General features: G+C 40.3%; 1 protein-coding gene and 1 non-coding gene across 14 annotated transcripts in view, besides 1 other annotated feature; both read right to left on the minus strand.

Moving 5' to 3' along the window:
- The window catches only part of MTUS1 (microtubule associated scaffold protein 1), a 157720-nt gene that overhangs the window by 22467 nt on the left and 107703 nt on the right, over nt 1–27550 (minus strand). For 11 of the 13 annotated variants that reach the window (NM_001363061.2, NM_001363060.2, NM_001363062.2 and 8 more), the window contains 2 exons: nt 18060–18274; nt 8918–8984 (listed from right to left, as the gene is read on the minus strand). In NM_001363061.2, coding sequence (NP_001349990.1) covers nt 8918–8984; nt 18060–18274 — 282 coding nt within the window. Of the gene's footprint in view, nt 1–8917; nt 8985–10007; nt 10225–18059; nt 18275–27550 lie in introns of those variants that run through there. The other 2 variants (NM_001330470.2, NR_156437.2) reach the window with 2 other exon arrangements.
- Nucleotides 8852–9146: a silencer, noted in NCBI's record as "tiled region #14364; K562 Repressive non-DNase unmatched - State 22:ReprW". NCBI's record gives its function as "represses a minimal TATA promoter and a strong SV40 promoter by Sharpr-MPRA in K562 cells {active_cell/tissue: K562}" and the evidence as "EXISTENCE:reporter gene assay evidence [ECO:0000049][PMID:27701403]".
- Nucleotides 15310–15389, minus strand: MIR548V (microRNA 548v). The gene has a single exon (NR_036103.1). It is a non-coding gene; the product is annotated as a microRNA 548v (primary transcript).

Below are 27550 nucleotides of genomic sequence, written 5' to 3' on the forward strand. Positions count from 1 at the left end.
AGAGTTTCAATGTAAAAAAAAAAAAAAGGATGATTTTAAGTCAGGGACTATTCATTCTGCCTCTTCTCCTCACTGACGGATCATTTTTAGAGCACGAGGGTCAAAAAGGCTGCTAAAAGTCCTTGGCATGTGTAAAATTTAAAAGCTTATTTATAAGAATGGACTCAATTCACTCGGAGTTACTTCATATTATTCTTACTATGCTTGAGATATGTATGTATTTTTTTACATAAAAGAAACAACATTCTAGGCAGCTAGAGCAGTGTCAAAGGGTAGTCCTGGGGCACCTACATGAGAACCACCTGGATGATCATTAAAAGTGCAGATTCCTCCTCAATTTCCATTAAGGGAAAGGTTTTGCTTTATTTTTCTTTGCAGGTAGCCAAAGCTGTACTCAGATATTGCTAATAAGGAAGAAAAACTGGTCTCCTGTTAACCTGAGGACACTAGGGCCAGAGGTCAGGAAGAGGGATCACCTTCCCCATCAACACAACATCTTTTTAGAAGTGCTGCCTCTCCTTCTGTAATTGGGAAGCACCTATTACTATTCCTTAAAGCCCAAAGAGGGGTTAGTAGGATGATGGGTATAGGAGACGTTGGGGTTTAAAAAAAACAAAGTGCAGATTCCTGGACTTCATCCCCAGCCAACCAAGTCAGAAGCAATGGGCATGAGAACTGAGGATCTGCATTTCAACCAGGTCTATTTTCGTACACAATAAAGTTTGGGAGCCACTATTCTACACAATAAGGTATTAAATTAGGAAAATCCCAAGTTGAGAGACTGGAGTTAGGACAAGGAACAGGACAAGGAGGAACAGTCAGTGGGTTTCAAACACAGGTACCACTGGTAAAACTGCATATCTGCAGGTGAAAGAACATGGCCTTTTACTTATAAATACAGCCAACCAAAGTCCAAATTGAGGGCAGATGTGGATAGGAAGAGAATGAGCTAAGTCTGAGGTGGCTATCAACTCAGTCTTCAAACAAGTCAGGGAGATAAACAGCCCTGTTTTGGTGTACAGTTGGTTTTCAGTATATTAATAGATTTTTCATTAAAGCCTACTTCAAGAAAAGTCACTTCTGGAATTTTACAACTCAAAAGTGACTTACCTGTAAAGAGTTTAAAAATTATTTTAAATACATAGCCTTGTTAAACCAAAATTGTAGATAAAAACGGAACAGTGAATGAATCAACACATTCCATATGGCGTGAGGCAATGTGAAGTTCATAGACACTGGGTTAAGTGTTGATTAGGCAATGTGTATACTGCTTTTGGCAATGTACTGTTTTTTGCAAGTTACTTTCCTCAGTAAGATACATTTTAACAATATTTCTTAAACTCTTGATTAGAAGAAAAATATTCCAAAAGTAGCTATCAATGCAAACGAGCGTTTATTTCAAATAGTTTTCCAATCTTTTAAATCATTTCATCAAACTTTCCCTGTGGTGACTACCAGAAGATTGGTGGTCTAGCCATCTTGGGTTCTTATGCAAGCTCTTTGCTTTCCAGCTTCCCTTGGGAAGTTACTTAACCTCTGAGCCACAATTTATTTTTTATAAATACAATGCAGAGAAGTAGACTGAGAGCTGAACATTGTTTGTTAGGGATGAGTAGGCACCAAACACACGATGTTGTTATACCTAGCTCATAATTTTCATGCACAAAAATCAACTGGTCTTTTTACACTATTATAGGAAGGGCAAGCATTTTTAGTGAATTAAGGATTAAAATCTTGTTTCACAAAATAGAAATAATCAGGACTAATGTATAAAAAGATGAGAGTTAGCTGTTAATTGTGATGGCTCAAAAATAATTTTGAAATACAAAATAATCTTCATTAATTTAGATCAAGCTTGTCCAACTCACAGCCTGCACGTGGCCCAGGACAGCTTTGAATGCGGCCCAACACAAATTTGTAAACTTTCTTAGAACATTATGAGATGTGTGAATTTTTTTCTTTTCGTCATCAGCTATTTGCTAGTGTTAGTGCATTTTATGTGTGGCACTAGACAATTCTTCTTCCAACGTGGCCCGGGGAAGCCAAAAGATTGGACACCCCTGATTTAGATGAAAAGTCTGATTCCAAGGATTAACATTAATGAAAAGCAAAAAGAACTCTAAAGATCATAATCATGGCCCTCTATTGCACCAGCTGTTATTCAACATGACTCTGGAAAGAATCTTATCCTAGAGGCAAAATGTCTGCTGCAGATGTAGACCATTTAACTGTAATCTATTTCCAAGGCTGACACTTTCAAAATGATCTGATTAACTGGGATTGTCGGACATAATATAAAATGTATCCAAGAGAGTTACAGCTCTCCTTTATGACTATGCATTCCTAAAGGACAATTATCTTTTCTTTTCAAGATGTGGATTTCATTTTTTAATTATTCTGACTCTGCTTTAAACTTTTATTTTAGGTTCAGGGGCACATGTGCAGGTTTGTTATTTGGGTCAACTTGAATCACAGGGGCTTGTTGTACAGAATATTTCATCACCCCGGTACTAAGCCCAGTACCCGATAGTTATTTTTTCTGCTCCTCTCCCTCCTCCCGCCCTCCACCCTCAGGCAGGCCCCAGTGTCTGCTGTTCCCCTCTTTGTGTCCATATGTGTTTGTCATAGAAATGTTAAACGGTTTATAGAAAAACATTTGTGCATAAAAAACACTGAGTATTAGCATATTTTAAGAAGAAAACTACCTTTCCCTAGCTACCACTGTTGGTAATAAAATCATTCATTGATTGAAGTCTAAGCACCTGCTAAGTGCCAAGCACAAGGTGGGAGAACTACAAAAATTAAGGAGCTATTGGCCTTGCCCTTGAAGAGTTCCTAATTCTAGATGGCAAGAAGAGGTCTATAAACAAATCTCTGTAAGAACAAAATCTTAAATGTGTACAGGGTGCTTTGAAAAGCACACTAGAAGGCACAGTTAACTTACTTGAAAGATTTGGGTGAAATTCAATTGAAGATATTTTAGCTAAGACTTAAAAACTGAGTAAAAGAGAAGGAGCATGAGGGGTCCGCGACGGGAGGGGAGTGGAAAGAGGAGAGTGCACTCCAGGCAGAGAGGATACCGTGCAAAAGATGTGGACAAGAGGTGCAAATGAACCCATGGCCGGGGCCTGGGAGGGGAAAGGAGGTCTGAACAAAGGGGAAAGAGTGCCTAGACGTGAATTTGGACTGGAAGATTTCAATCAGTCAAATCATAAATGGTGTGCTTAGTATGTCTGGATTTTTTCCCCCAAGGCCAAAATAGAGTCTTTTGTGTTTGTTAAAAATGTCCAGTACAGGCCAGGAGTGGTGGCTCAAGCCTATAATCCCAACACTTTGGGAGGCCGCAGCAGGTGGATCACCTGAGGTCAGGAGTTCGAGACCAGCCTGGCCAACATGGTGAAACCTCGTCTCTACTAAAATACAAAAATTAGCCGGCCGTGGTGGTGCGCACCTGTATTCCCAGCTACTCGGGACGCTGAGGCAGGACAGTCACATGAATCCAGGAGGTGGAGGTTGCAGTGACCCAAGATCATGCCACTGCACTCCAGCATGGGTGACAGGGTAGAAAACTCCTTCTAAAAAACAAAAAAAACAAAATGTCCAGTAGAGACACATGTCAGCCTGACTCTAAGTACAGATCCTGGCCGCAAGTGGAGTTGGGGGCGCAGGCCTGGAGGCAAGGTGACCCATTGGGTAGCTGTTGCAGTATCTTCCAGGTGAGAAATTGTGGGACTTAAAACAGCAGCAGCCAGAATGCTGAGCAGGGATGGATCCAAGTGGCATTTAGGACACAGACTGACATGCACGTGGAGGATGGGGGAACAGGAGTATGATTTCAGTTGTTAGCTTGGGTGGTAAGTGAATCATATCGACCCTGCCAAAGCTGAGGAACAGGGGTGAATGAGGAGACGCTGCATGGCGCTCAGGAAGGAAGGGGCTGGACCATCAGGAAGGTCTGATTATACTGGACTGGCTCACCTGGGGGCAGCCCCTCACTGGGAAGCATCTGCAGCTTGGGAAGGAGAGAACTAGAAAAATAAATCTGTGTCACTGTTGTATAGGTAGTAGCGGAAACCATGGGAATGGATGAGAAAACAGCTGGCAATGAAACCCTTGCTATATACTATGACACTATTTAAGGGGTAAGTGAACGTATGGGACAGCCACTTGACAGACTTTCCCCCAGCCCATTAAAGGTGATCATAATGAACACTATGAGGCAATGTGGAAAAGTGCTTGACCTATCCAGTGAAAAAGATCACAGCAGACATCTGACCAGGTGCCATGGCTCACATCTGTAATCCCAGCACTTTGGGAGGCCGAGACGGGCGGATCACTTGAGGCAAGTGTTAGAGACCAGCCTGACCAATATGGTGAATCCCTGTCTCTACTAAAAATACAAAAATTAGCCCAGCATGGTGGTATGCACCTATAATCCCAGCTATTCGGGAGGCTGAGGCAGGAGAACTGCTTGAACCCGGAAGGCAGAGGTCACAGTGAGCCGAGATAGTGCCAGTGCACTCCAGCCTGGCAACAGAGCAAGACCCTGTCTTTAAAAAAAAAAGATTGGAGCAGACACTTAACATACACAAATCTCAAAAGTATTATGAAACAAGCCAGAGACAAAAAACAGCATACTATATCTTTCCATTTAAATGAGAATCTAGTTCAGACAAAACCTTTGATAATAAAGGTTAAATCAGTGTTTGCTTCTAGGGGGAGGGGTGTTCCACTGTGAAATGGCATGAGGGAATTTACTGGATTGACAGAAATAGTCTATGCTTGATAAGGATGTAGGTTTTAGGAGTATATGTCTGTCAAACTGATGGAATAATTAGCATTCCGCTGTATGAAAATTACACCTTAATTTAAAAAATCGTAGTATGAAGTTGTATATATTCATATAAACTAAGAAAAGGGAATATGCAAATAAAGTTATGTCAGGGCAGTGGAGCTGCCGGCTGTTTTCTTTTCACTTAAAAATCTTAATTTTCATACATTGTTCTAAAAAAAAAAAAAACTTTAAAACTTAAAATACCCAAAAATATTTATCGAGTACCCAAGAAAACAGAAAGCATATTATATTATTTTTCCATAGGAAACAGAAAAGAATCCCTACAATTATGGACTTTATACCTGAAGGTAACAAGAAAACACGAGACAGTAAAGACATCAACGTAGAGTATCAAAAAATCACTGGACCAAAGGGACACTTTTAAGAGTTTCTGCAGAAGCAAAGAACCAGTGCTTCCATGAAGGGAGTGTGGCTCAGACAGTGGAAACACACAGGCTGCTTTGGACACTGCCACAGTGAGACTGAGGGAACAACGGGAAAGTCAGTGGATGCTGGGACAGCTGGAGGCTGTTAGATGCGGAAGGTGGAAAGCACAGACTCTACCTGGGTTTCAGTGCTCCTGAGTTTATGAACTGTCCTTTTTCTTTGCAGTTCTTAGTAGTTTGGGTACCTTGTCTCAACTTTCATTGAGAAGGTGAAGAAAAATTACCCAATGGGAGAGTGACACCAACTCCCATCGCCCCACCCCCATTATTTTGGAGGGAAGAAGTGGGTGCTTTGATGACGGCGATAGTGGCAGCTCTCTTTTCTTGAGTTGCTGTGATGGGCCAGGCACTACACCACTGCTTTATATGCATTACTATTTTATTCAAGCTCCACAATAACGCAGCAAAATACATACTGATTTCATATCACCAGCGAAAAAACCATACTCAAAGAAGTTAGGTAACATCCAACTAGGAGTGGATGGACAAAAACCTAGGCTTTGACTCCACACACCACACTCTACTGGATCAGGAGAATACTCTGATGAGGTCTCATTTCCACTTGAGTTTGAAGAGCCTGTCGTTTGGGATTTCTAGGAATATTTAGTCTAATGATTATTCCTTTCTGTAGCATAGATGATGCCCTCACAAAACAGCCAGTGTGGTTAATTACTACACAGCTGTCAAGCTGCATACATCCTAATACCTATTATTTAATAGCAGTTAACACTTGGTGCTAGATGCTTTACAATGCATTACCTCATGTAATCCTCACACCCACCCTTGGGGCAGACAATTAGCATCGCCATTTTTACCGAGGATGAAATTGGGACAGAAGAGATACAAAGTGACTTGTCCTAAGTCACTCAGTTACCACAAATGTGGCCCCGGACAGTGTGACAACATCAGCCTAACCACTTTACTGCCTCAAAATTTAAAACTGGGTTCCCAACTTTGCTATGTCAATGTCAAAGTTAGTTTCATGCTGAAACTAACAATCCCACTGGCAGCCTTGAGAGTGTTCTTCCTGGACCGCTTCATCACAAGTGTTTACAGGTTTCGCTTCCCTCCACTTACAGAACCAAAACCCTTCTCCAAACGGAGAACGGTTACCATCAGATGTATGCCTGCTGCAACAGCAGCAATGACACATTCCCTAAGAAGCCAGCACTGGGTGACTGGGGATCTGGATAGGCCACCCACTGTACCAACACTCGGGAGGCAGGAGAAGCAGTGCACCAGGACAGCTTCCTTATCAAGGATAGGAAGGTGACAGTGGGCACAGACTGTTACAGCTATTTCCTGTCAGGCTACCTGACTCACTGGAGGTGCTGAATCCCTGGGCCCCAACTGCGGTTGCTTAATTGTGCTGTCCACTAAAATGTAAAAAGAGCATCCTTCATTGAAGCAGAGCGAATGGGCACAGTGTTCCATTCTCATTGCTGCCTTGTCTTCGGAGAGAGGCTGAAATGTGAACCTCTAGGTAGGCTCACCTCCACTTCCACTGGGTTATAATGAACTCTGAAACACACACAAAAAGGCCTCTTTCCTGATCTTCTAACTCTGTTAATTATGTTATTTAAGGCATGGACAAAAGCAAGTTGGGTTGGTCATTTAGGTAATCATAAGGGCTGCTGTCAAGTTAAGTAACATGGCAGAAAGCCTGCAAAGTCTGAGAGCTGGGCTGTCTCTCAGCTGGGATTTCCTTGAACTGTTTCACCAGAACTCTCAAGTCTTTGGGATTCTGAAGTTTCCATCTGTCTTAAAATTACTTTTCCATAAAGAGGCCTTCATTTCCACAGCCTAAAATAAAGTGAGGACTGATGTCTTGGCTAGGTATTAAGAATCTGGACGGTTAGTCAGGGATTTGGCCTCACCTCCCACTGGAAGGGGAAAAGGGAAGATGAATGCAGAGAAGTCTTTTACAGAGTCTTGCTCTGTTGGCCAGACTGGAGGGCAGCAGCACAATGACAGCTCACTGCAGTCTCGAACTCCTGGGCTCAAGCAATCTTCCCACCTCACACTCCAGAGTAGCTGGGACAACAGGCACACACCACCATGCTTGGCTGATTTTTAAATTATTTTTTGTAGAGTCAGGGTCTTGCTATATTGCTCAAGCTGGTCTCAAACTGCTGGCCTCAAGTGATCCTCCCACCTCAGCCTCCCAAAGCGCTGGGATTACAGGTGTGAGCTACCACACCCAGCCCAGACAAAGTCTTGACCCCACGTTCACTGCCGTTTGATTTCTGCTGTGGTGAAGGTGGGAGAATTAAGAGTGTTCAAATCCAGCAAATCAGGTTGGCAGTGTGGTCTTGTCCAAAAGAAAAAAGGGCAGTTTCTCCTAGAGTTGGGTGAACACAATTTGCTTCTCTGGATGTTACCTTGCATTATTCATACAACATACCTGGGCATATTTTGGTGGAGACTGTAACACACACAGAAAACTGCAAAGGGCAAGGAAATAAGCCCTAGAATGGTCAGCTCCAGATCTGGCTGAAGCTGAAGCAGGAAGTTGATTCTCTAGGTTGAGGAGCCCAGGGCAGAGAGAAGAACCCCAAAGCGGTCAGATCACTCCAAGATACGAGTTGACGTAGAAAAGGGAGTGTCGGCTGGGTGCGGTGGCTCACACCTATAATCCCAGTACTTTGGGAGGCCAAGGTCAAGAGATGGAGACCCTCCTGGCCAACATGGCGAAACCCCATCTCTACTAAAAATACAAAAATTAGCTGGGTGTGGTGGTGTGCTCCTGTTGTCCCAGCTACTCGGAAGGCTGAGGCAGGAGAATTGCTTGAACCCGGGAGGCGGAGGTTGCAGTGAGTCGAGATCGCACCACTGCACTCCAGTCTGGTGACAGAGCAAGATTCCGTCTCAAAAAAAAAAGAAAAAGAAACAGAAAAGAGAAAAGCAAAACAAAGCAAAGGCAGTGTCGTGTCTGTTCCATGAACCCTAAGGGCTTCCAGGAGAGAATGGAACTAAAATAACAGCGTAGCCTGGAAACTGGAGGGCTGGGTGGTGGGTGTTGAGACCTGGAAACTGCAGGGCTGGGTGGTGGGTGTTGAGACATGTAAACTGCAGGGCTGGGTGGTAGGTGTTGAGACGTGGGGCTCCCTGTGGAGCGGGGAGGTGGTGAACCATCAGCCCCCCTCCAAATAGTAAGATTAGCATAGAACGTGCCTTTTTCAGCCAAGTTGCCTTCATGGACAGCATCCTTTCAACTTCATACTCACTACTCACAAACCAACCCTTGGAAGTACAACGGATTTACTGTTTATCAAGAGGGGAAACTTTCACTATTCTCATATGAAAAGTGCTTCAGAAAAAAAAATGACAACATTATTTAACAGGAATTCACACAATTACAAAAATAACTCTGTCCCTCTCTTCAGCAAGAGAAATATTTTGCTCATCAGAAGTTCTGCTAGGCTTAGTCAGATCAGTGCCAGGAATTCTGTGAACTGAAGGTCAAGCTGCCAAGATTCAAAAGAAATGTCGATAGTAAGTGTTTGCCCAGATACTAGACAGGGAGTGCCAACAGCTCCCAGCATGCAACTCCAGCCACAACGCAGACAGGACAACCACATTTTCCAGTGTTCCCCTTGTCCCATAAAATTTAACAACAACAACAAAAAGCTCTTACCTAGCTCTCCCCGGAGGTTAACAAGTTCTTGAGATAGGGTTTTGTGTTGTTTCAGTGCTTCCTCCCGCTGCGGAAAACACACATCAAGTTACTCATGCTTTCAAGAGGGTCCCTTTCAGTAAGGTACACATTTGTTATCACTAGGAAAATGAGACCCAGTATTGGGAAGCCAAGATATGAATCATTTAGGCTAACAATTTGTGTTGTTAAAAGAAACACAGTTGTCCCTTAGCTGTTAAGGAAATTCGTAATTCAAAAATCTGTATTTTTGCAGGTCCCAGTGAAACTTTGGTTTGACGCAGTGAATGGCCCATTTAGAAATATTTACTTTGAGCCAGTGCTTCACTGCTGATCCATAGAACCTTTCGGCTAATGCATACTGTACTTAAGATGTAATGCGTTCTCCTCCTCCAAGGGCAATAAACATCTAATCAGTTTAAGATAAATATTTAATGTTCTAAACATAAGCACATATATGCACTTTGTCCTATATTTGCACATAAAAAAGTTTCGTTACAATGCCAATCCTTCTAAAAGAAAGACAAAAAGTTTGTTAGAAAGCTATAGCAGAAAGATAATCCTTTAAAGACAAAATTAAATTAATTTTTTTCAGCTACATACCATTTTCTAAGGATTATGATATTTTGGATCAGTGATAATTCTAAATCGATGTTAGAGAAACAAACCAAAGAAAACCGGATGGCTGTTTTTAGTATCAGAGAAGCAAGTATCAACCTTGAGCTGAAGAATAATGTTCAAGTTACCAGCAACTCCCGGCAATCACACATACACACATACTTACACAAATACAGTAATTACATACAGTTCCTTAAAAGGTAGATTCCCTAGCACCAGGGAGTAACTAAAAAAAAAATGAAGAATTTCAAAGCTCGCTGAAAAATGCCCTCACGAGGATCACCCAAGACGGAGCTCCCACCACATCCTGATCACAGCGTTGCAGAGATCATGAGACCCGGCCTTTGCAGGCAAGAGTTGCTTGTCATTCAAAGCATTTTCCCTGAATTCCAGACAGCCTCTGCAGTAGTCCTGACATTCTTCCAGAAAAGCACTATAAACAAATACTAATTACCCTTGTTGCTGCACATGGAGAATAGAGGCACAGTTTGCTGCTGGGGCAGCCCATTTTCCAGCTTCTGTCTCCAAGTCCCCCCACCCCTCGCACTGTGCAAGAAGCATACAGGTGGCCGCGCCACCCACCAGTCGGGTCTGTCTACATTCAAAGCTCTAGCAGGAGGCGCGCCATTGGCCCTCGGGCGTCTTACTTCATGTCCTGCAGGTTACCGTGTGCCTCGGATTCCTCACTCACAGAAGCTGATACTGCAGCTTCTGCCTTTGGCACAGGCAGCCTGTGATTACTTAAAGCCACAGCCTTTCATTTATGAAAAACGAGAGGCAGGCATTAGACTGATCGATTGCCATTTAGTTAAATATCAGCTGCAACGGAGGAAAGAAAAAACTGACCCCCTCTGCATGGATAATGGAGTTATTTTTAGACTTGTGAGCCTTTTTCTTCCCCTCTCTAATTGTGGTCATTATTTGATCACACTTACTAATAGAAAAGGGAAACTTGTTCTTCGAAGCCCATATACTAAATGAGGTTATGAACTAGGTGAAGAGCAAGGAAAGGGGCATGCTGTCGTTTACAAATTTAAATGACATTATGAAATGAGAGGTGTTTCAAAATAAGTCTGAAGTGCTGATCTGAGAGTTGGAGATCCCATATATTTTTAACTTTTACTTTGTTCTCACCTCTCAGTAAGAGCTACGGAAGTCAAGTCTAAACGCCAGCACTGAAACGTGGTCAGCAGGGACTGGGATTTAAGACCCACTTTTCACTGAGTACCTTTCTGGCTTCAATGGTATTCTAAATGCTTGGTTTTTAAAAATATGGCATTAAGTTGTTCTGAAATCACCAGTGAGTCAGAGTTTCTTAAAATAATAAGTAATTGGTTTTCTAATGTAGAAATTAAAGCCTGAGGAAAATCAGCCCGCATAATAATGGAAGAAAAACATAAAAATATGTATCATAAATACTTCTCGTAATATCAAATTTAAGCCTGAATTTTGTTTAGTAATCTACTTCAAGTAAACACCAGGAAGCTTTACCACTCAAGTAACAGGAAAAACAAGACAGCTTTACTAAATGCCCACAAACAATCCTGAAACTCATTTGGTGAACTTGCTTAAAATTCACTTTTCAGTAGTAACCAAGTTACTAACAGAAGGAAGAGATGGCAAGAAAATTCAATCATTTTTCAAATTTATGGAAACTAATGGGAGGATGAAAGAAATTAAAAATTACAGTTAGTATAACTGCAAAGAAAAATTGTGTGAAATCATTATGTTCTACTGCAAAAATACACCAGGTGATATTTTTGCTTATTAAGGGAGGTTTTGGGAAAGGGAGTTTCACCAAGCATGTCGACATTTCCCCAAACTTCAACTCCACTGCACTCCACGTTCCTGTCCTTAATGCCTCAGAAACTACTGACATCTTCCAACCTCTGTCAGGCACAGTAACAGTAACAGGAAAACCTTGAGGTCATCTTTCACTCTTTGTCTAAATGGGTTGTGCAAAAGTCAGTTGGTTCTTCCCTTGTAATGTGACACCATTCCCCTCCTCCAAATGCATAGACCATTTACCCTTCTAAATTGGTTGGTAACTTATTACTTCAAACTAATTAACTAAGCATTTTTCATAGCAGATGCTGTGAAAATATAAAAGAAATTTAAGACATGGTCCCTGCCTTCAAGAAGCATGGGGCCTACCTAGAACTAGAACATCCAGGCTCAATTCTTTTGGTCATCTATCAAGGCAGATGACCTCATCGGATGGGAAGCAGTAATGAAAAAAACCAAGGGCTTTAAATACCATCCATAGATGAAATGCTGACCCCAGTGCCCATACTGTAAAAGACACATACTAAGGGTTAGTTTCTGCCTGACTCTCCCTGGTAGCTTGGCCTTTACATGTACTTACCCTTTACTTGTAGATGATAAAATGCATTATGTCCTTTAGATACTGATTTACTGTTTCTTTTTACTCAGCTGCTCCTAGATCAGTGTTTCTCTCTTAGATGATAAACTCTTAACCGTCTAGATAACAGGTTGATTCAATTCTCTTTGTATTGTAACATGCAGAATTACACACAATGTGAAAAAAGAGAAAGGTGGAAATCTGGATATAAAGATGCCTTTATGCTCAGGCATTAAATATATGAAATGCTCAAGAAAAAAAAAATGGATTCACCATAATTGAATTAGGAGTCCCTGGGACACAGGCACTTAGTCTCTGGCTGTGGTCCCATCGGTGTGCCTGCATTTTTGCTAGCCACTGAGTAGCATCAACAGCATAGAGCATCTTGCAGAGAATAGCCACATCAGATGGCTCAGACGTGTGCTGCATCTGACCTCCTCCCCATCACCCACACAGTGAATTTGCTCAATGCATCTATGTTTTTTTGTTCCAAGTCAACTTTACTGCTAGTGCCATTCAAAATTCACCTTTGTTCAGGTGCTACTTTAGGTTAAATTCCACTTGCAAAAAAAAAAAAAAAAGATGTGGAGGCATTTTGAAGAATTAGAGGTTTGGGGAGGGTGACCTCAGCCCTGTTCAAGTTTACCTAGAAAGCCACCCAATAGACCCTTTTAGGAAGAAGCTTAATTACTACCATCAATACTGTTGTTCACTTTGGCTGTCTGTGCAGAATACCGTCTAACTAAGCAAGGATAAACCAAGAATTAGAAAAAAACTAAAATAACTTTAGTGTGTCTTCTGCGAAACAGAGTGTGACATTAGTTCTCAGATTCATGAGATATAAGAATGTCTGATATGTAATGAAATATGTCTGCCACTACAGTGGGAAACTTATAGTTACTAAGTAGACTTGCAACAAAAGCATGGTAGTTGCAAGATTCTCTTAACCATTTTCACCCATAATCGAAGGCTCTAAAGCCATTTAGAAAAGGTTAGCAATAACAAAAAATATATATACACACACACACACAAATACCTATATATTATACATATATAAAAATACATAGACATACAATGTATAGGTATATCATGTATATAAAAAACATACATAATGTATATGTATACAATGTGTATCTGTATCTATTTTATATACATATGCATGTGTGCGCGCGCGTGTGTGTGTGTGTGTGTGTGTATAAACACAGTATATATACTTCTGTAATGGGAATGGGAACTAAAAGGTTAAGGGAGTTTTTAAAATTGTTTAACTTTACCCATGATTTTTTTTCTCCAACTATTTTTATTTTATTTATTTATTTATTTATTTATTTATTTTTTGAGACAGGGTCTCACTGTCACCCAGGCTGGAGTGCGGTGGTGCGATCTTGGCTCACTGCAACCTCCACCTATTGGGTTCAAGCGATTCGTATGCCTCAGTCTCTTGAGTAGCTGGGACTACAGGCACATGCCACCATGCCTGGCTAATTTTTGTATTTTTTGGTAGAGACAGGGTTTCGCCATGTTGGCCAGACTGGTCTCAAACTCTGGACCTCAAGCGATCCACCCGCCTCAGCCTCCCAAAGTGCTGGGATTACAGGTGTGAGCCACCATGCCTAGCCTCCAACTGTTTTATAATAGTGCTCAGTATACATTACACAATCAGTAAATATTTGCTGATTATAAAATAAAGAGAGCAAAGAACATTTACATAAGACTTTATGCTCATCCTACATCTGGAATTCCATCCTCTCCGTTCATATGTTCACTCACATATATACTGTGTTGACTATTAAAGCTGCTGGGGTGGTTTCATAAGAAAGAACTAGATGCAGATCCTGCCTTCAGTAAATTTCCTGTCTTAAAAAGCAAAAACAAGCATTAAACCGGTATCTCTAATATAACACAGACAATGAAAGAGAAGCATATATGCTCCTGGAATCCAGACGGGAACAGAACGTAGATCTAGAAGGCCAGGAAATCATTCCTGAGTGGGTTCTGGACTGGGAGTGGTGGATCATGCCTGTAATCCCAGCACTTTGGAAGGCCGAGGCAGGTGGATCACTTGAGGTGAGGACTTTAAGACCAGCCTGGCCAACATGGTGAAACCTCATCTCTACTAAAAATACAAAAATTATCTGGGTATGGTGGTGGGCATCCGTAATCCCAGCTACTCAGGAGGCTGAGTCAGGAGAACTGGTTGAACCCAGGTGGCGGAGGTTGCAGTGAGCTGAGATTGCGCCACTGCACTCCAGACTGGGTGACAGAGCAAGGCCACTGTCGCAAAAAAAAAAAAAAAAAAAAAAAAAAAAAAAAGCGGGTTCTGGAGCTGTATTCAGTGCAGTCACAATTCCTTGGCTGTCAGGACCTAAATTTAAGTATAAGGTGAAATTCACACACAGTACAATTGTCTGGGAAATTCACTAGGAGCTTGCCATGTTTGTGGACAATGCATCTCTCTGTAGATCCAACCCAGTGAATTTTTTTCCTCTAGCGTTGGATCAACTCTCTCTATAACTGAGCACCTGATAAAGGCCTCGGCTTGTGTTTAGAGGCCAGGTTGCATGAGGGAAAAGTATCTTTAAACACTAAGATAGCAGAGAGTATAGAATGCTCACGCCACAAGAGGTGTTCGGGGACTGAGCAGACACATGAAGGAAGGGTGGACTCCTGACCTTCATCTCAAATTGACTCCCGGGCCTTCGTTCACTGGGGGGAATACAAGGTGGACTTGTGTTCTTCATTTAATTTGCTTTTTTTCTTTTTTTTTTAAGTTGGAATCTCGCTCTGTTGCCCAGGATGGAGTGTAGTGGTGCGATCTTGGCTCACTGCCACCTCCACCTCTCAAAGTAAAGTGATTCTTCTACCTTAGCCTCCCGAGTAGCTGGGACTACAGGCACATGCCACCACACATGGCTAATTTTTGTAGTTTTAGGGGAGATGGGGTTTTACCATATTGGTCAGGCTGGTCTCGAACTTCTGACCTCAGGTGATCCACCCGCCTTGGCCTCCCCAAGTGCTGGGATTACAGGTGTGAGCCACAGCGCCCGGCCTGCATTTTTCTTCCTTCAGTTGTTTGTGTACTGAATCTATGTAAATTAAATGCAAGTGGTGATGTGATGCTGCTGTAAAACCGACCTGAACATGTAGGTATTGTGGGCAAGGACAGCAACCCAGTAATGATACGTGAACAATGGATGACGTACAGGAAGTTTACAGGACATTTTTAGTTGATAGCTTCCTAGACCTAGGTTTACGTCCTGGTTCTCCTCTTGCTAGCTGTCTGATAGCAGGCAAATTACCTAACTCTATGCCTCAATTTTCATATTTGTAAATTCCAACTCGTGTCTTTGGTGAGGATTTAAATAAGGTAAGTAAGAATATCTGGCACTTAGTAAATATTAGGCTGGTGCAAAAGTAACTGTAGCTTTTGGCATGATGGCAAAACCGCAATTACTTTTGCTCAAACCTAGTATTCAATAAATCCCTCTTGCTTCTCCTCCATCTCTTTATGTACGGCTACAGCATCTGGGCATGATAATAACATTAAAAGGGGCAGTTGTTGCCAAATGATAAAGAGCCTTATAGTACCAGTTGAAAACCAGACTCCCCAAAACAAAATAACATGAGTTACGTAATTATAAATTTCCTAGTAGCCACGCTGAGAAAAGTTGAAAAAGATGAAGCTAATTTTAATAACGTATTTTATTTAACCCAAATATATATATAAAATAATATTTCAATATATTCAATATAAAAGTTGTTAATGAGATATTTTACATCCTTTGTTTTCATTCTAAGTTTTTGGAATCCAAGTGTATTGTACACTTACCACACATCTCAATTCAACGGATTTACATTTCGAATGCTCAGTCTCATATGGCTAGTGGCTACCACACTGGACACATCAGCTGTAGATAAGGGAGAACCACTGGAAGATTTAATCAGCAGCGTGGGATGCTTTGGTAAGAGGACGCTGTCAGCAGTGCTTGGGATGGATTATAGGTGAGAAACAGTACAAGCCTAATGATTGGTTAAAAAGGTGCTATCACAGGTTGGGCGCAGTGGCTCACGCCTGTAATTGCAGCACTTTGGGAGGCCGAGGTGAGCGGATCACCTGAGGTCAGGAGTTCAAGACCAGCCTGGCCCACATGGTGAAACCCTGTCTCTACTAGAAAATTACAAAAACTAGTCGGGCATGGTGGCGGGTGCCTGTAATCCCAGCTATTCGGGAGGCTGAGGAAGGAGAATCACTTGAACCCGGGAGGTGGAGGTTGCAGTGAGCCCAGATCACGCCATTGCATACCAGTCTGAGTGACAGAGCAAGACTCCATCCCAAAAAAAAAAAAAAAAAAAAAAGTTGCTATCATGATCTAGTGGAAGCTATCCAGGGTCTGAGCAAGGATGGCATGAATGGGGACAGCAAAGACATAGGAAGGGGAAAAGCACTGTGAAATGAGAGTTCACAGGACTTGACTGACGTCATGAGGAGGATGAAAGGAGAGAAAACAGTTGAGGATGGGGGCTATTAGGCTAGATATAATAAAATAAAATAATTGGTTTATTTCTAAACATAAAAACTAATTGTTCCCCACATTTGATAGTATACAGTTTCTAGTTAGCTTACTTGGTTATATAAACACACTCTTGATTCCTTTCTTACAAATGAAAGAGAAACAAAAATACCATATACTATTACCGTTACTAAAACCCTAAGTAGTCTCCAACTTCCCCTCAAAAAAAACAAAAACAAAAACAAAAACAAAAAAATCTGGAGAAAGCTGTAAAATACTCATCAAGAAATCATTAAGGCTGGGCGCAGTGGCGCATGCCTGTAATCCCAGGACTTTGGGAGGCCGAGGCAGACAGATCACAGGGTCAGGAGATCGAGACCATCCTGCCTAACACAGTGAAACCCCGTCTCTACTAAAAATACAAAAAACTAGCCGGGCGTGGTGGCGGGTGCCTGCAGTCCCAGCTACTCGGGAGGCTGAGGCAGGAGAATGGCATGAACCCGGGAGATAGAGCTTGTAGTGAGCTGAGATGGCGCCACTGCACTCCAGCCTGGGCGACAGAGTGAGAGTCTGTCTCAAAAAAAAAGAGAATTCATTGAAACTGTCTACTAGTCTGGTAGTTTCTCCAAGGCACAGACCAAGTCTCATCCACTTCTCTCTCTCCCCACTCCCTAAAAAGGCAGCCATATTACAGGGGCCTCTGTATGAAACCAGGACAGGTTTGTTGATCTGAACAAAACTACAGAACAACCAAACTGAACAGTTTTCTTTTTGCTTTTAATTTTTATTTTTTCCCTATGTTGCTCAGGCTGGTCTTGAACTCCTGACCACAAGCGATCCTCCCTCCTCGTCTTCCCAAAATGCTGGGATTCCAGGCATGAGCCACAGTACTGAGCCAGTCTTTTTTTTTCCCCTTTGCATTATCATGTATAGCCATCTTTAAAACTGTGATTTAAAAAATGTCTGAAGAGCTCAAGTTGTATTCTTATCAGTTGCCCCCTGAGATAATTACAGCTTTTATTGCTATGTCAGTAACATGTTGATATAAACTTGGTTTTCTCAATGAATTTTAGCCAGTTCCTGAAATAACATCCCTGAAGAATATTAGGGAAAAGTAACAACACGGCAAATCTGCTTTGCTTTTGTTGCACCACAGAGATTGTTTTAGGAATAAACAGAACTTTCAGAAAGAATCCCCAGATATGATTCAGGGAGTTAACTCAAAAGTGCTCTTTAATCCATAAATATAACTAACGTCATTTTTCAAAGCATTAAACTAAGTGTGATATGAAAAGCTACACACAGACAAACACACAAATTAAGTGAAAAAAATGCTAATGCTAGTTTAGGTCTAGAGGCATACACCGGCGTAAGAGGCAATTATGTTTTTTGCTGTTGCCATTCTAACCAACAGACTCTAGGGGAAAAAAAGGAAGTGAGAAAATGTTTCCATCCCAAATTGCTAGAGACCGACTCAAGTATCTGGTGAAGTGACAAAAATGTAATGGGATGAATGACACCTGATCTTTCCCATCATTTACCTAGATATTCCCAAGGCCAGCGTGTGAGCAAGTCCTCCCCGTGCTCCCCCGACCTCAAGTAGAAAGGCTCTTTCTAGGATGCACCTCCTTACCTCAGACAGCAGGTGCTGAATCACAACTGTCAATGCCTCAAACTTGGTATTACCACAGGCAAGAAGCTGCTTGAGCTGCAGGATAAATCCACTTTGGTTTTCACATTTTGTTTTATATTGCGTCAATTCAAGTGTTTTCTCAGGGGGCAGCGCATCGGGAGCTGTCTGTGGCTGGATACATAAGCTTCGAGGATTCTTTTGCCTGCTCTTTTCAACTGCAAAACGAATTAACATAGGTACAAAGATAGGTGAGGTTAATTTTTAAAATCACCACCACAAGGATTCAAAAACAACCAGATAAGCCACAGAAATCCATTTAAGTTATGTTGCTGTAAGGAATGCATATGGATGAGAACTGGAATGAATCGGAGATCTAGACGGTTGGAATTCATGAACAGGGACCGTGGCTTCATTTATGACTTTAAAAGATTTATGGGGAACAGAGAATTAGGAACATGACACAAATGGATTTGGCAACCCAGAAACACAAAAACTGGGTGCAAAATGTTGTTCTCCTCGTTTCTCATTTTCCAGTTAAATTGGTAGAGAAACCTTGACTGAAGAGAAGCCTGACTTTTCTGATCTCATATGCTGAAAGGAACACACAAATCACTGGACTTTAAATTAAATGCCTTTCTCTCCTCCCATACATTTTCTACAAATCTTTTACCTTTTCCCTGATGATGGCCTAGCCATTACACAGATTTATACCGCAGATGAGTCATTTCCTAATCTCTAATAAATCATAACATACATCGAAAATATACTCAGATTTTGCCTCTTTAAGTTCACTGTTAGGAGTACTATACTGTTGACTATACTATTCCATTTTCTATCGAACACAAGCTTTGTTGGTCTTTTTTCCCAAGTAGTAATAACGGCTTACACAGTTTTTTTTTAAAGCACATGCTAACACTCCAAATCCACCCAAAATGCCACGCTAAGTGATTATTCCCTTCCTGTGCAATGGTGCCCTGGGTATTACTCTGTTTTAAATAAAAAACTGTTCAGTCTTGGAACCATTCCAAATGTGTCATTTTGAATATCAAACAGAATTGGAAAAACAGGACATCAATTGCTTAGGTTCTTGAAATAAACAAGCCAAGTAATCCAAACAAATGTAAATCTGGAAAAAAGACACAAGAAACTAAAAAAAAAAAAAAGTTTCCTTATTCTAACAGTCTTTCATTACAGCATCCACGTTCTGTGGTAGCAAATCTGAAACAACTTTTAAAGAAATTTAGTAATTACTGTCTCTAATTTTTCAGGAAAAGGCAAGCTACTACAGTGATTGCTTAAAGAAACATCAGTACTCACTTTCTAAGAACAAATGGCTAAATATATTGAATAAACTAAGTTAAAAACAGGGAAAAAAAGGCTCTTATTTTCTATGGCTGCATTACATGGTTAAATAAGTCATATTTGTATTAATACTTGATAATTCTCAGTTCTAAAATCACTAAAATATCCATTGTCCCACTGTGTCTCTGTAATACTTGATGAGAGGAAGTATTTATCCATTACTCTTTATTATTAGCAATTATTAGTAGTAGCTTATGAATAATTGTCACTTGCATAGATGTAGAAAATAGCCAAGTTAATATCGTAATATTACAGCCCTGAAGGAAGAACAAATTATTAGTTACATACTAATGAAAAATAATCTAAATATTTGACCATGAGATTAGCATTCTTTCATGTCATTTCCTAAATGTTTTTAGAAATTGTCACATAACACATAACAATTCCACAGTGTTTCGCTCATCACAGTGTGCTCTCACTTTCCCTTTCTTTTCATCCTCCCAATAACCCCAGATAGGGAAGAGAAGGCTCACAGGTGTGAATGTCTTCCCTGGATGTAGACAACTTCTATGGGAATCCAGATTCAAAGTCAGAACCCAGGCCTCTGATGCTAAGCCTCTTCTGTTCCCACACATTTTGGAAAGCGGATTAGGTGGTGATGTAATATATGACATACATAAAAATAAATATTTATGCAACAAATGTAATAATATCTTGCTATAATACATATAAGCCCATTATCTGATAACTCATTTTAACAAACCTACATATAAACATCTATGTGTTATATAACTTTATAAACAAAAATGTTCAAATTCTTTCACTATCTAGAATTTACTGTAACAAATATAGACACAGTTCATTCTCCTGATATCATTTGTATATGTCCTACCGAAACTTACTTAAAAATTCATTTATTGATAACTCCTTTATCATTTCCTGAGTCCTGAGTAACATTTGCCTCTCTTTCTAGAATTTCTATGCTAATCAACGCTATTTTTAACACAATTTCAGAGCTTTAAAACTGTTGGTTTATAATTATTTACAAAATCTGAGAGGTGAGTCTTTTATATTAATATTTTGGAGAAAATATTCTTCAAGATTCTTGCTTTTTGCTTATAAATCCGTAACAAAAATATCACAGAATACATGTAATTGTACTAACAATGTTTACTTTTGAAGGGAAGGTAATAGGAATCAGACAGCTAAAAAGTATCCTGAAGCATTTTTTATACTTTTTAACCATGGGGTAAATATATTACCTATTCAAAAGTTAAATATAAGAAGTAAATAAAATCACTTTTAACAGACAGTTAAAGTGAAATTCGAGGACATACATTTTTTATATAATACTTAGCTATGAAGGAAATAGTCTATGCAGAATTTTTCCTTGGGGAAACTACACAGGAATCTAAACATTACGCAGGGTTTGTAAGTGATTACTCAGGATAGCTTTATGATTAAGGAGGAAAGAACACATTGATGTATTCGTCTAAGAGTACGTGTCTTCAAATTTTAAAATGAGAGCAAATGAGCCAACAGACTGCCCTCTCCGTGGCGCTGGAAACTCGTGCTGTGCAGTCACCATCTTCCGCTCCATATACTGTGCTCCCTAAGGATGAAGTGTGACCGCATGGCAGCCGATGACCCAGTTTCCACATGCTTCCCACTCTCAGCACTCCTGGCTCAGCTGAAGATCAGAGATGATGCAAAAATCTCCAATGACGCTCAAAACCCCAAGGCTCATCAATACGTACTTCACAGTACTGAAAAGCCAGGGGTTCCCTTAAATCCTGCAGGATTCATTACTAACGTGAAATTAGCATATTATCAGCCAAACTTTGCCCTTACCCTTGCTTATTAGCATGTTACTGTTTTGATAACAAAGGTTTTATACAGAAGTATAAATTATTTTGTTTACTGTACCTATTAACAGAACATGTTCTGATTTTAAAGGGCCAATTTAATCAGAAACCTTAAAATTAAACGTCAACTTCTATATCGATTCAGATTTATCTCAACAAGATAATTACCACCATCAGCTGTGATCCAGCCTTACTGGGACTCATTCTAATGAAATGGCAGCCTCCATCAGGAAAACGAAGGCCAGAACCAAAGACATTTGCTCATTTGGAAAGCAGCTGGATGACCCTGTTGGCTATCTTTGTTCTTTCTATTCAGAAACCTCAATTTAATAAGATTTAAAACTAGTGCAATGAAGTCATGTATCATCTTCTTAAAGAAAGTAGTTGGTTAATGAGGAAGATGCCCATTTCTCAGGCTCAAATCACTTAGGCAAATAGACCTCCAAATCCCAAGACCAAAAACAATTTTGAGAGAAAAACCTAACCATTAAGACATGGACTAACCGTAACCACATACTAGCAGCTGAGGACACATTCATTCTAGGCTGAAGAAGCCACACATTTCCTCAATCTGCTGGCTTTTCCAATTATTAAAATCAAGTTAGAGACCAGACCTACTGAGGGAGTTTGCCTTGGGTTCCGTGAAACACAAACTAAACACAGAATTTGGAAACGAACGTTGTCCACTTTTGTGTATACTCACTGACCTACTCACTCACTCATGAAATATATTTATTAAAATCTACCATGAGGGCACTGCTGTGGTGGGTGTGCACCTGCCCTGGTGCTTTGCGGGGACAGGAGAAGTATCACATAAGAGGGTGGTATTGCTCAGAGAGGCACAAAGACACCAAAGATCTCTGCTGACTCATGTTTCCCTAGTGCTCAGCTCTTCAACTCCAAATCTCAACCTATCTGTAAAAAGGTGACAGTCACTGACTGGATGGTAAGTCCTTTCTACAACATATTGCATTAAAAACCGATGTTTGTGGGTTGACAAAACATAGGTTATGAACTCAGAAGCTAGTGAGAGGTCTCTCTCTGCTAGCGGCATGGACAGACAGAAAATTCCCTTTTTTCTGCCTTAATCTAATCGTACACATCTAAAAGCCCTCACAGGGACACTGACACAGAAGTTCTTTCAGTCAGTTTCCCCAGCATCTGGTGGCAGGTGCTTATCCTGCCTATGCAATCTTACATACAGTTTTTTAAAGTTACCATTCATGTCAATTATTAGTTTATGTTTGTATAAAGTTTTCTAGTGTTCATTAGCTGTTTACTCTAAAAGAGTTAACAGTAATAATTTAGGAGACATATATTTTTCTATTTACATATAATATTTTTCTATTTCTAGGTAGACATGGCATTTACTGAAAATGGAAAATTTTAAGCTCAGCAAAGCACAGTGTTTAGACATTTAGAATTACCCAAGCCAGGCCGGGTGCGGTGGCTCACACCTGTAATCCCAACATTTTGGGAGGCCAAGGCGGGCAGATCACAAAGTCACGTGATTGAGACCATTCTGGCTAACACAGTGAAACCCCATCTCGACTAAAAATACAAAAAGTTAGCTGGGTGTGGTGGCACCTGCCTGTACTCCCAGCTACTCGGGAGGCTGAGGCAGGAGAATCACTTGAATCCGGGAGGTGGAAGTTCCAGTGAGCCGAGATCACGCCACTGCACTCCAGCCTGGGTGACAGAGCAAGACTCCGTTCTCAAAAACAAACAAACAAACAAACAAAAAACCCCAAGCCAAGCCCAATTATTTGTAGGGGGAGGGAGGAGGATTTAGGATGCCTCACCATTTAAACTTTTCATTACTATATTGGTAGAATTCGTTGCAATAGCTCATATTATATCAAAAAGGGTTCTACTTCTTTTCTTCACATTAAAAGCAGATTAGAGAATAGAAAGCATATTCGAGAATAGAAAGCATATTCATATAAAAAATTCCTGTTTGGGTTAATTACGCTTATAAAATTTTTCCTGAAGCAACAGTCCAAACTTGCCCTAAACTATTTTCCATATAGCTGGCAGGAAAAAACCAAATTTCTCATACTCTTATGTACCTAAAATGGACTCCTAACTCAAAGAAGAGTTAATATAAATTCACCACATTCAGAAGTACTTTTAAGAAGGCATTGCCTCTCTCCTATAGCAACCAAAAAAGCATGGCACTGGTCTAAAAATAGACACATAGATCAGTGGAAGAGAACAGAGAACCCAGAAATAAAGCCACATGCTTACAGCTAATTGATCTTTGACAAAGTCAGCAAAAATACATACAATGGGGAAAGGACACCCTATTCAATAAATGGTGCTGGGAAAATTGGAACAGAGAAACTGGAGACCTATCTCTTATCATATGCAAAAATTAAGACAGATTTAAGACTTAAACGTAAGACCTGAAAAAATAAAAATTCCTGGGTGGGGGGAGGGAACTAGAAAAAACTCTTCACAACATTGGCCGACGCAAGGAATTCATGACTAAGATCTCAAAAGCAAATGCAGCAAAAACAAAAATAGACAAATGGGACTTAAACTAAAAAGGTTCTGCACAGTAAAAGAAACAGTCAACAGAGGAAACAGACAACCTATAGAATGGGAGAAAATATTTGCAAACTATGCATTTGACAAAGATCTAATATTCAGAATTTACAAGGAACGCTAGCAACTAGCAAGAAAAAATACAACCCCAATAAAAAATGGGCAAAGGACATGAACAGATGTTTCTCAAAAGAAGACACAGAAGCAGCCAACATATGGAAAAAGTAGAACATACGAAAAAATGCTCAACATCACTAATCATCAGAGAAATGCAAATGAAAACCACGATGAGATACCATTTCCTATCAGCCAGAACGGCTATTACCAAAAAGTCAAAAAACCACAGATGTTGGCAAAGATGTGGAGAGAAGGCAATGCTTATACACTGTTGGTGGGACTGTGAATTAGTACAATCTCTATGGAAAACAGTATGGAGATTCCTCAAAGAACTAAAAATAGAACTACCATTCACCCAGCAATCCCACTGCTGGGTATCTTCCCAAAGGAAAAGAAAAACACAGACTATCTTATAACAGAAATGAAAATTAAAATAGCCAATTAAAACATTAAACATTAGAAATATTTACAATACAAACAATAAATAAAAAGAGAACATCATTCTCAAAATACTAAACTGTCGACAAGCAATTTGGAAGAAACGTGCCTAGGACTCAGGTCACCAGGGAGAAAAAAGGCAAATCTCTCACCCCAAAAGAAAGCTCTATTACTCTTAATTTTCCACAGAGCCACATAATTGCTGATGTTTATAAAAAGGACCCTCGTGTACTAAAATGACCCAAAGTATTGCCTAAGATAAATACAGAAATATGATATTCAATATTAGATACCTCTAAAATCACACCTGTTGTGTTTCTAAGAAAATAATATGCATATACTATTAATAAAATATTATTCTTAGCTCTGAAAGAGGCTTTAAAGCTCATAAAAAGCATCATTACATTAATTTATAGGGTAATTATCTATTAATTAACCAGAATAAATTGTTCTAACAAAACAAGTATTTACTTATATACAGCTTGCCATATTCCTCCAGTGTCTCTTGATGAAAAACACTGCTATCCTTCCCATTCTGAATGCAACTCTAAACCGTAATTTATTACTTACTTTCCATTTTTGTGTAAAAGTAGATACTACATTAAAACATAATTTAGTGTAGTAAAACTCTAGTTATCTGAAACTTGTCAAATTAGGACATACTGTCCCTTTCAACATCTCACTTTTAAAAACTTATCAAAATCTTACCTATTGTGAGCAAAACTTGCCATTCAACACTTTATTGTCTTCTTCAATTGAAAGCTGTAACTACAAAAGGGCAGATATTCATGTCACGGCAAAGCTACAGCTCTAAAACCGCCACAGCTACCGAAGCTTGGAATCAATCCACGACAAAACGTTTTCAGCATCATGCCATTCATCACACCAGTTCTTAGCAAATGCTTGTCTATGTGGCAAGAGGCCAGCAAAATCTTTCATGACTGCTTTCAAGGAGGCTGAAAGGAAGAATCTGGATTCACAGTAAGATAACTAAGGGGCAGTGAAAGACTACATCTCTCGTTCTTCTTCACCTTGGTCCTTTTGATTTCTTCTACATTCTACAAATCCCTGAATTTTACCTTTTCACACGCAAATGCTAATATATGTGTTTTTTTTTAATGGAAGCTTTCTAATATGGCTTCATTGACGTCTACATTTTGTAGTACGAAAAACACAAGAGAAATTGAAGTTTACTTACTGTCACCTTAACAGTACATGAATAAATGCCCTCCTAATCCATAACACATCCATAAATGCGCTAATAACATATTAAGCATACAAAAGCCACATTTAAAGTTGAACACATTCTTCCCAATGTATTTTATAACTGAAAATTCATTCAAGAGATCAAAAATCAAATGTTAAGACTTACGTCCAAACGACAAAATAACTTGAAAGTTTAATGGAACCATTACACACAGGTAATCAATGCCCCTCCAAAACGCATAGAATAGAGAAAAAATAGCAAGGCCTGTTGCAAGATCCAACTTGTTAAATAATACACTCCCCTCATTTATAATCGGCCAACATCCGCTTGAGAAATACCTGTTCTGCCTTCTCTGTGGCAGATATTCCAATAGAGCTCTTATAACATTTTATACCTGTCTGTGGGACAGAGACTAGAGAAGTCACACGCTCTATTTCCCAGCCTCCCTTCCAGGTCGAGTCATGTGACTAAGACCCGGCCAATGAGACGGAAGCTTAAGCGACCTGGCACCACCCCTTCCTCATTTCTTTTTCTTCCTTCCTGGAGCAGCTACTGTGAGATCATGAGGCAACAATCATGAGGACACGGCTAAGAAGACAGCAGAGATGAGGATTCCTGACACGGCAGAGCCACCGAACAACCTCAAAGCTGCTTTTCTTCAGGTGAGACAAGTTGCTTCTTAGTGAAGCTGTTAATTCCATCTAAAAAGAGTCAAAAGTGAATACCAAATGCGAGAACATAATTTGATGAATTTCATCCTAATTAAACAAACGCATTCACATTCTGCCTGCCTGTTACTGAACACTTCTTTAAAACGGTTCTCTTCACGAACACAAAGAAGGGAAACAACAGATGGGGGTCTAATTGAGGGTGCAGGGTAGGAGGAGGGAGAGGAGCAGAAAACAATAACTTGGGTGCTGGGCTTAATACTTGGGTGATGAAATCATCTGTACAATAAACTATTTATTGTACAAGAATCTGTACAATAAACTCTGTGACATGAGTTTACCTATATAACAAACCTTTACATGTACCCCTGAACCTAAAAGTTCAAAATAAAATAAAATGGCAAAAGTAAATGGAAATATTTTGTTCTGATACTACCTCTGCCATCCCTCGATACGTACGTACACATGTTCCTCCCTTGCGCTGCAGTAATCACTTTTAATGTCACTAGCTCAGCAGAAAGAATTCTGTCTTTAGCGTACTGAATTGCCTTCACTGGAGTCAAGAAGGAAATTAACCTGTGAGGTTCAAATGGCACTCTTCATAGCAATTAATACAAGAATTTCCAGCTTCATAGAAAAACTGAATGCTAAGTGGCAGGGAATATTTCTTAGCAAAGTCTTTTCCCTCCACTAACTCATTATAAAAATAGAACTAATATGTTGAGGTAGAATTCCGAAATAGACCGAGTTTAATACTTTGGTAAAAAGACTATTGCTGACCCTTCTCCATGTCAGTGACGTCATCACTGGACTTCTTAGATTTTCATCTGTGCCTAATGTCCTGCAACATCACGCACAGTTCCTGACAAATTCACTCTTTTCCTCCTCTCCCCTGTTTAAAGAGGAAAGATAACCTCGATCCAACAACACGCTTTGCCAGTGATGGATACCACCCAGTAATAATATATCAGAGTGCCCAGTGCCCTCTGCGTGGGATCAATGAGAAAGCTTATTCTGGCCGGATCTCTACAATGACCAGCCCCCGTCCCACCACATTCTATGCTCAGAAATACTACAACTCCTTTGTTTCCTTGAAGGAGCCCTTCCTCAAGCCCCTCAAGGTTTTTACATGCTGTTTTCTCTGTCGGAAACACTTTGTTTCTTAGTAAATTCTCCATTTCCTGAGGACCCAACTTAAAAGGCACTTCTACTGGAGGACCTGGATTAAAGGTACCTCCACCTGCTGAGAGCTGCTTGGGCACAAGTCCACACCCTGCATTATTAACTGGTGCTCTGTCTCCTTCTGTTAAACAGTGGGCTGTGTGAAGGCAGGGTCCATGTGGGACT

Source organism: Homo sapiens, chromosome 8, assembly GCF_000001405.40.
Source record: "Homo sapiens chromosome 8, GRCh38.p14 Primary Assembly".
NCBI classification, from domain to species: domain Eukaryota; kingdom Metazoa; phylum Chordata; class Mammalia; order Primates; family Hominidae; genus Homo; species Homo sapiens.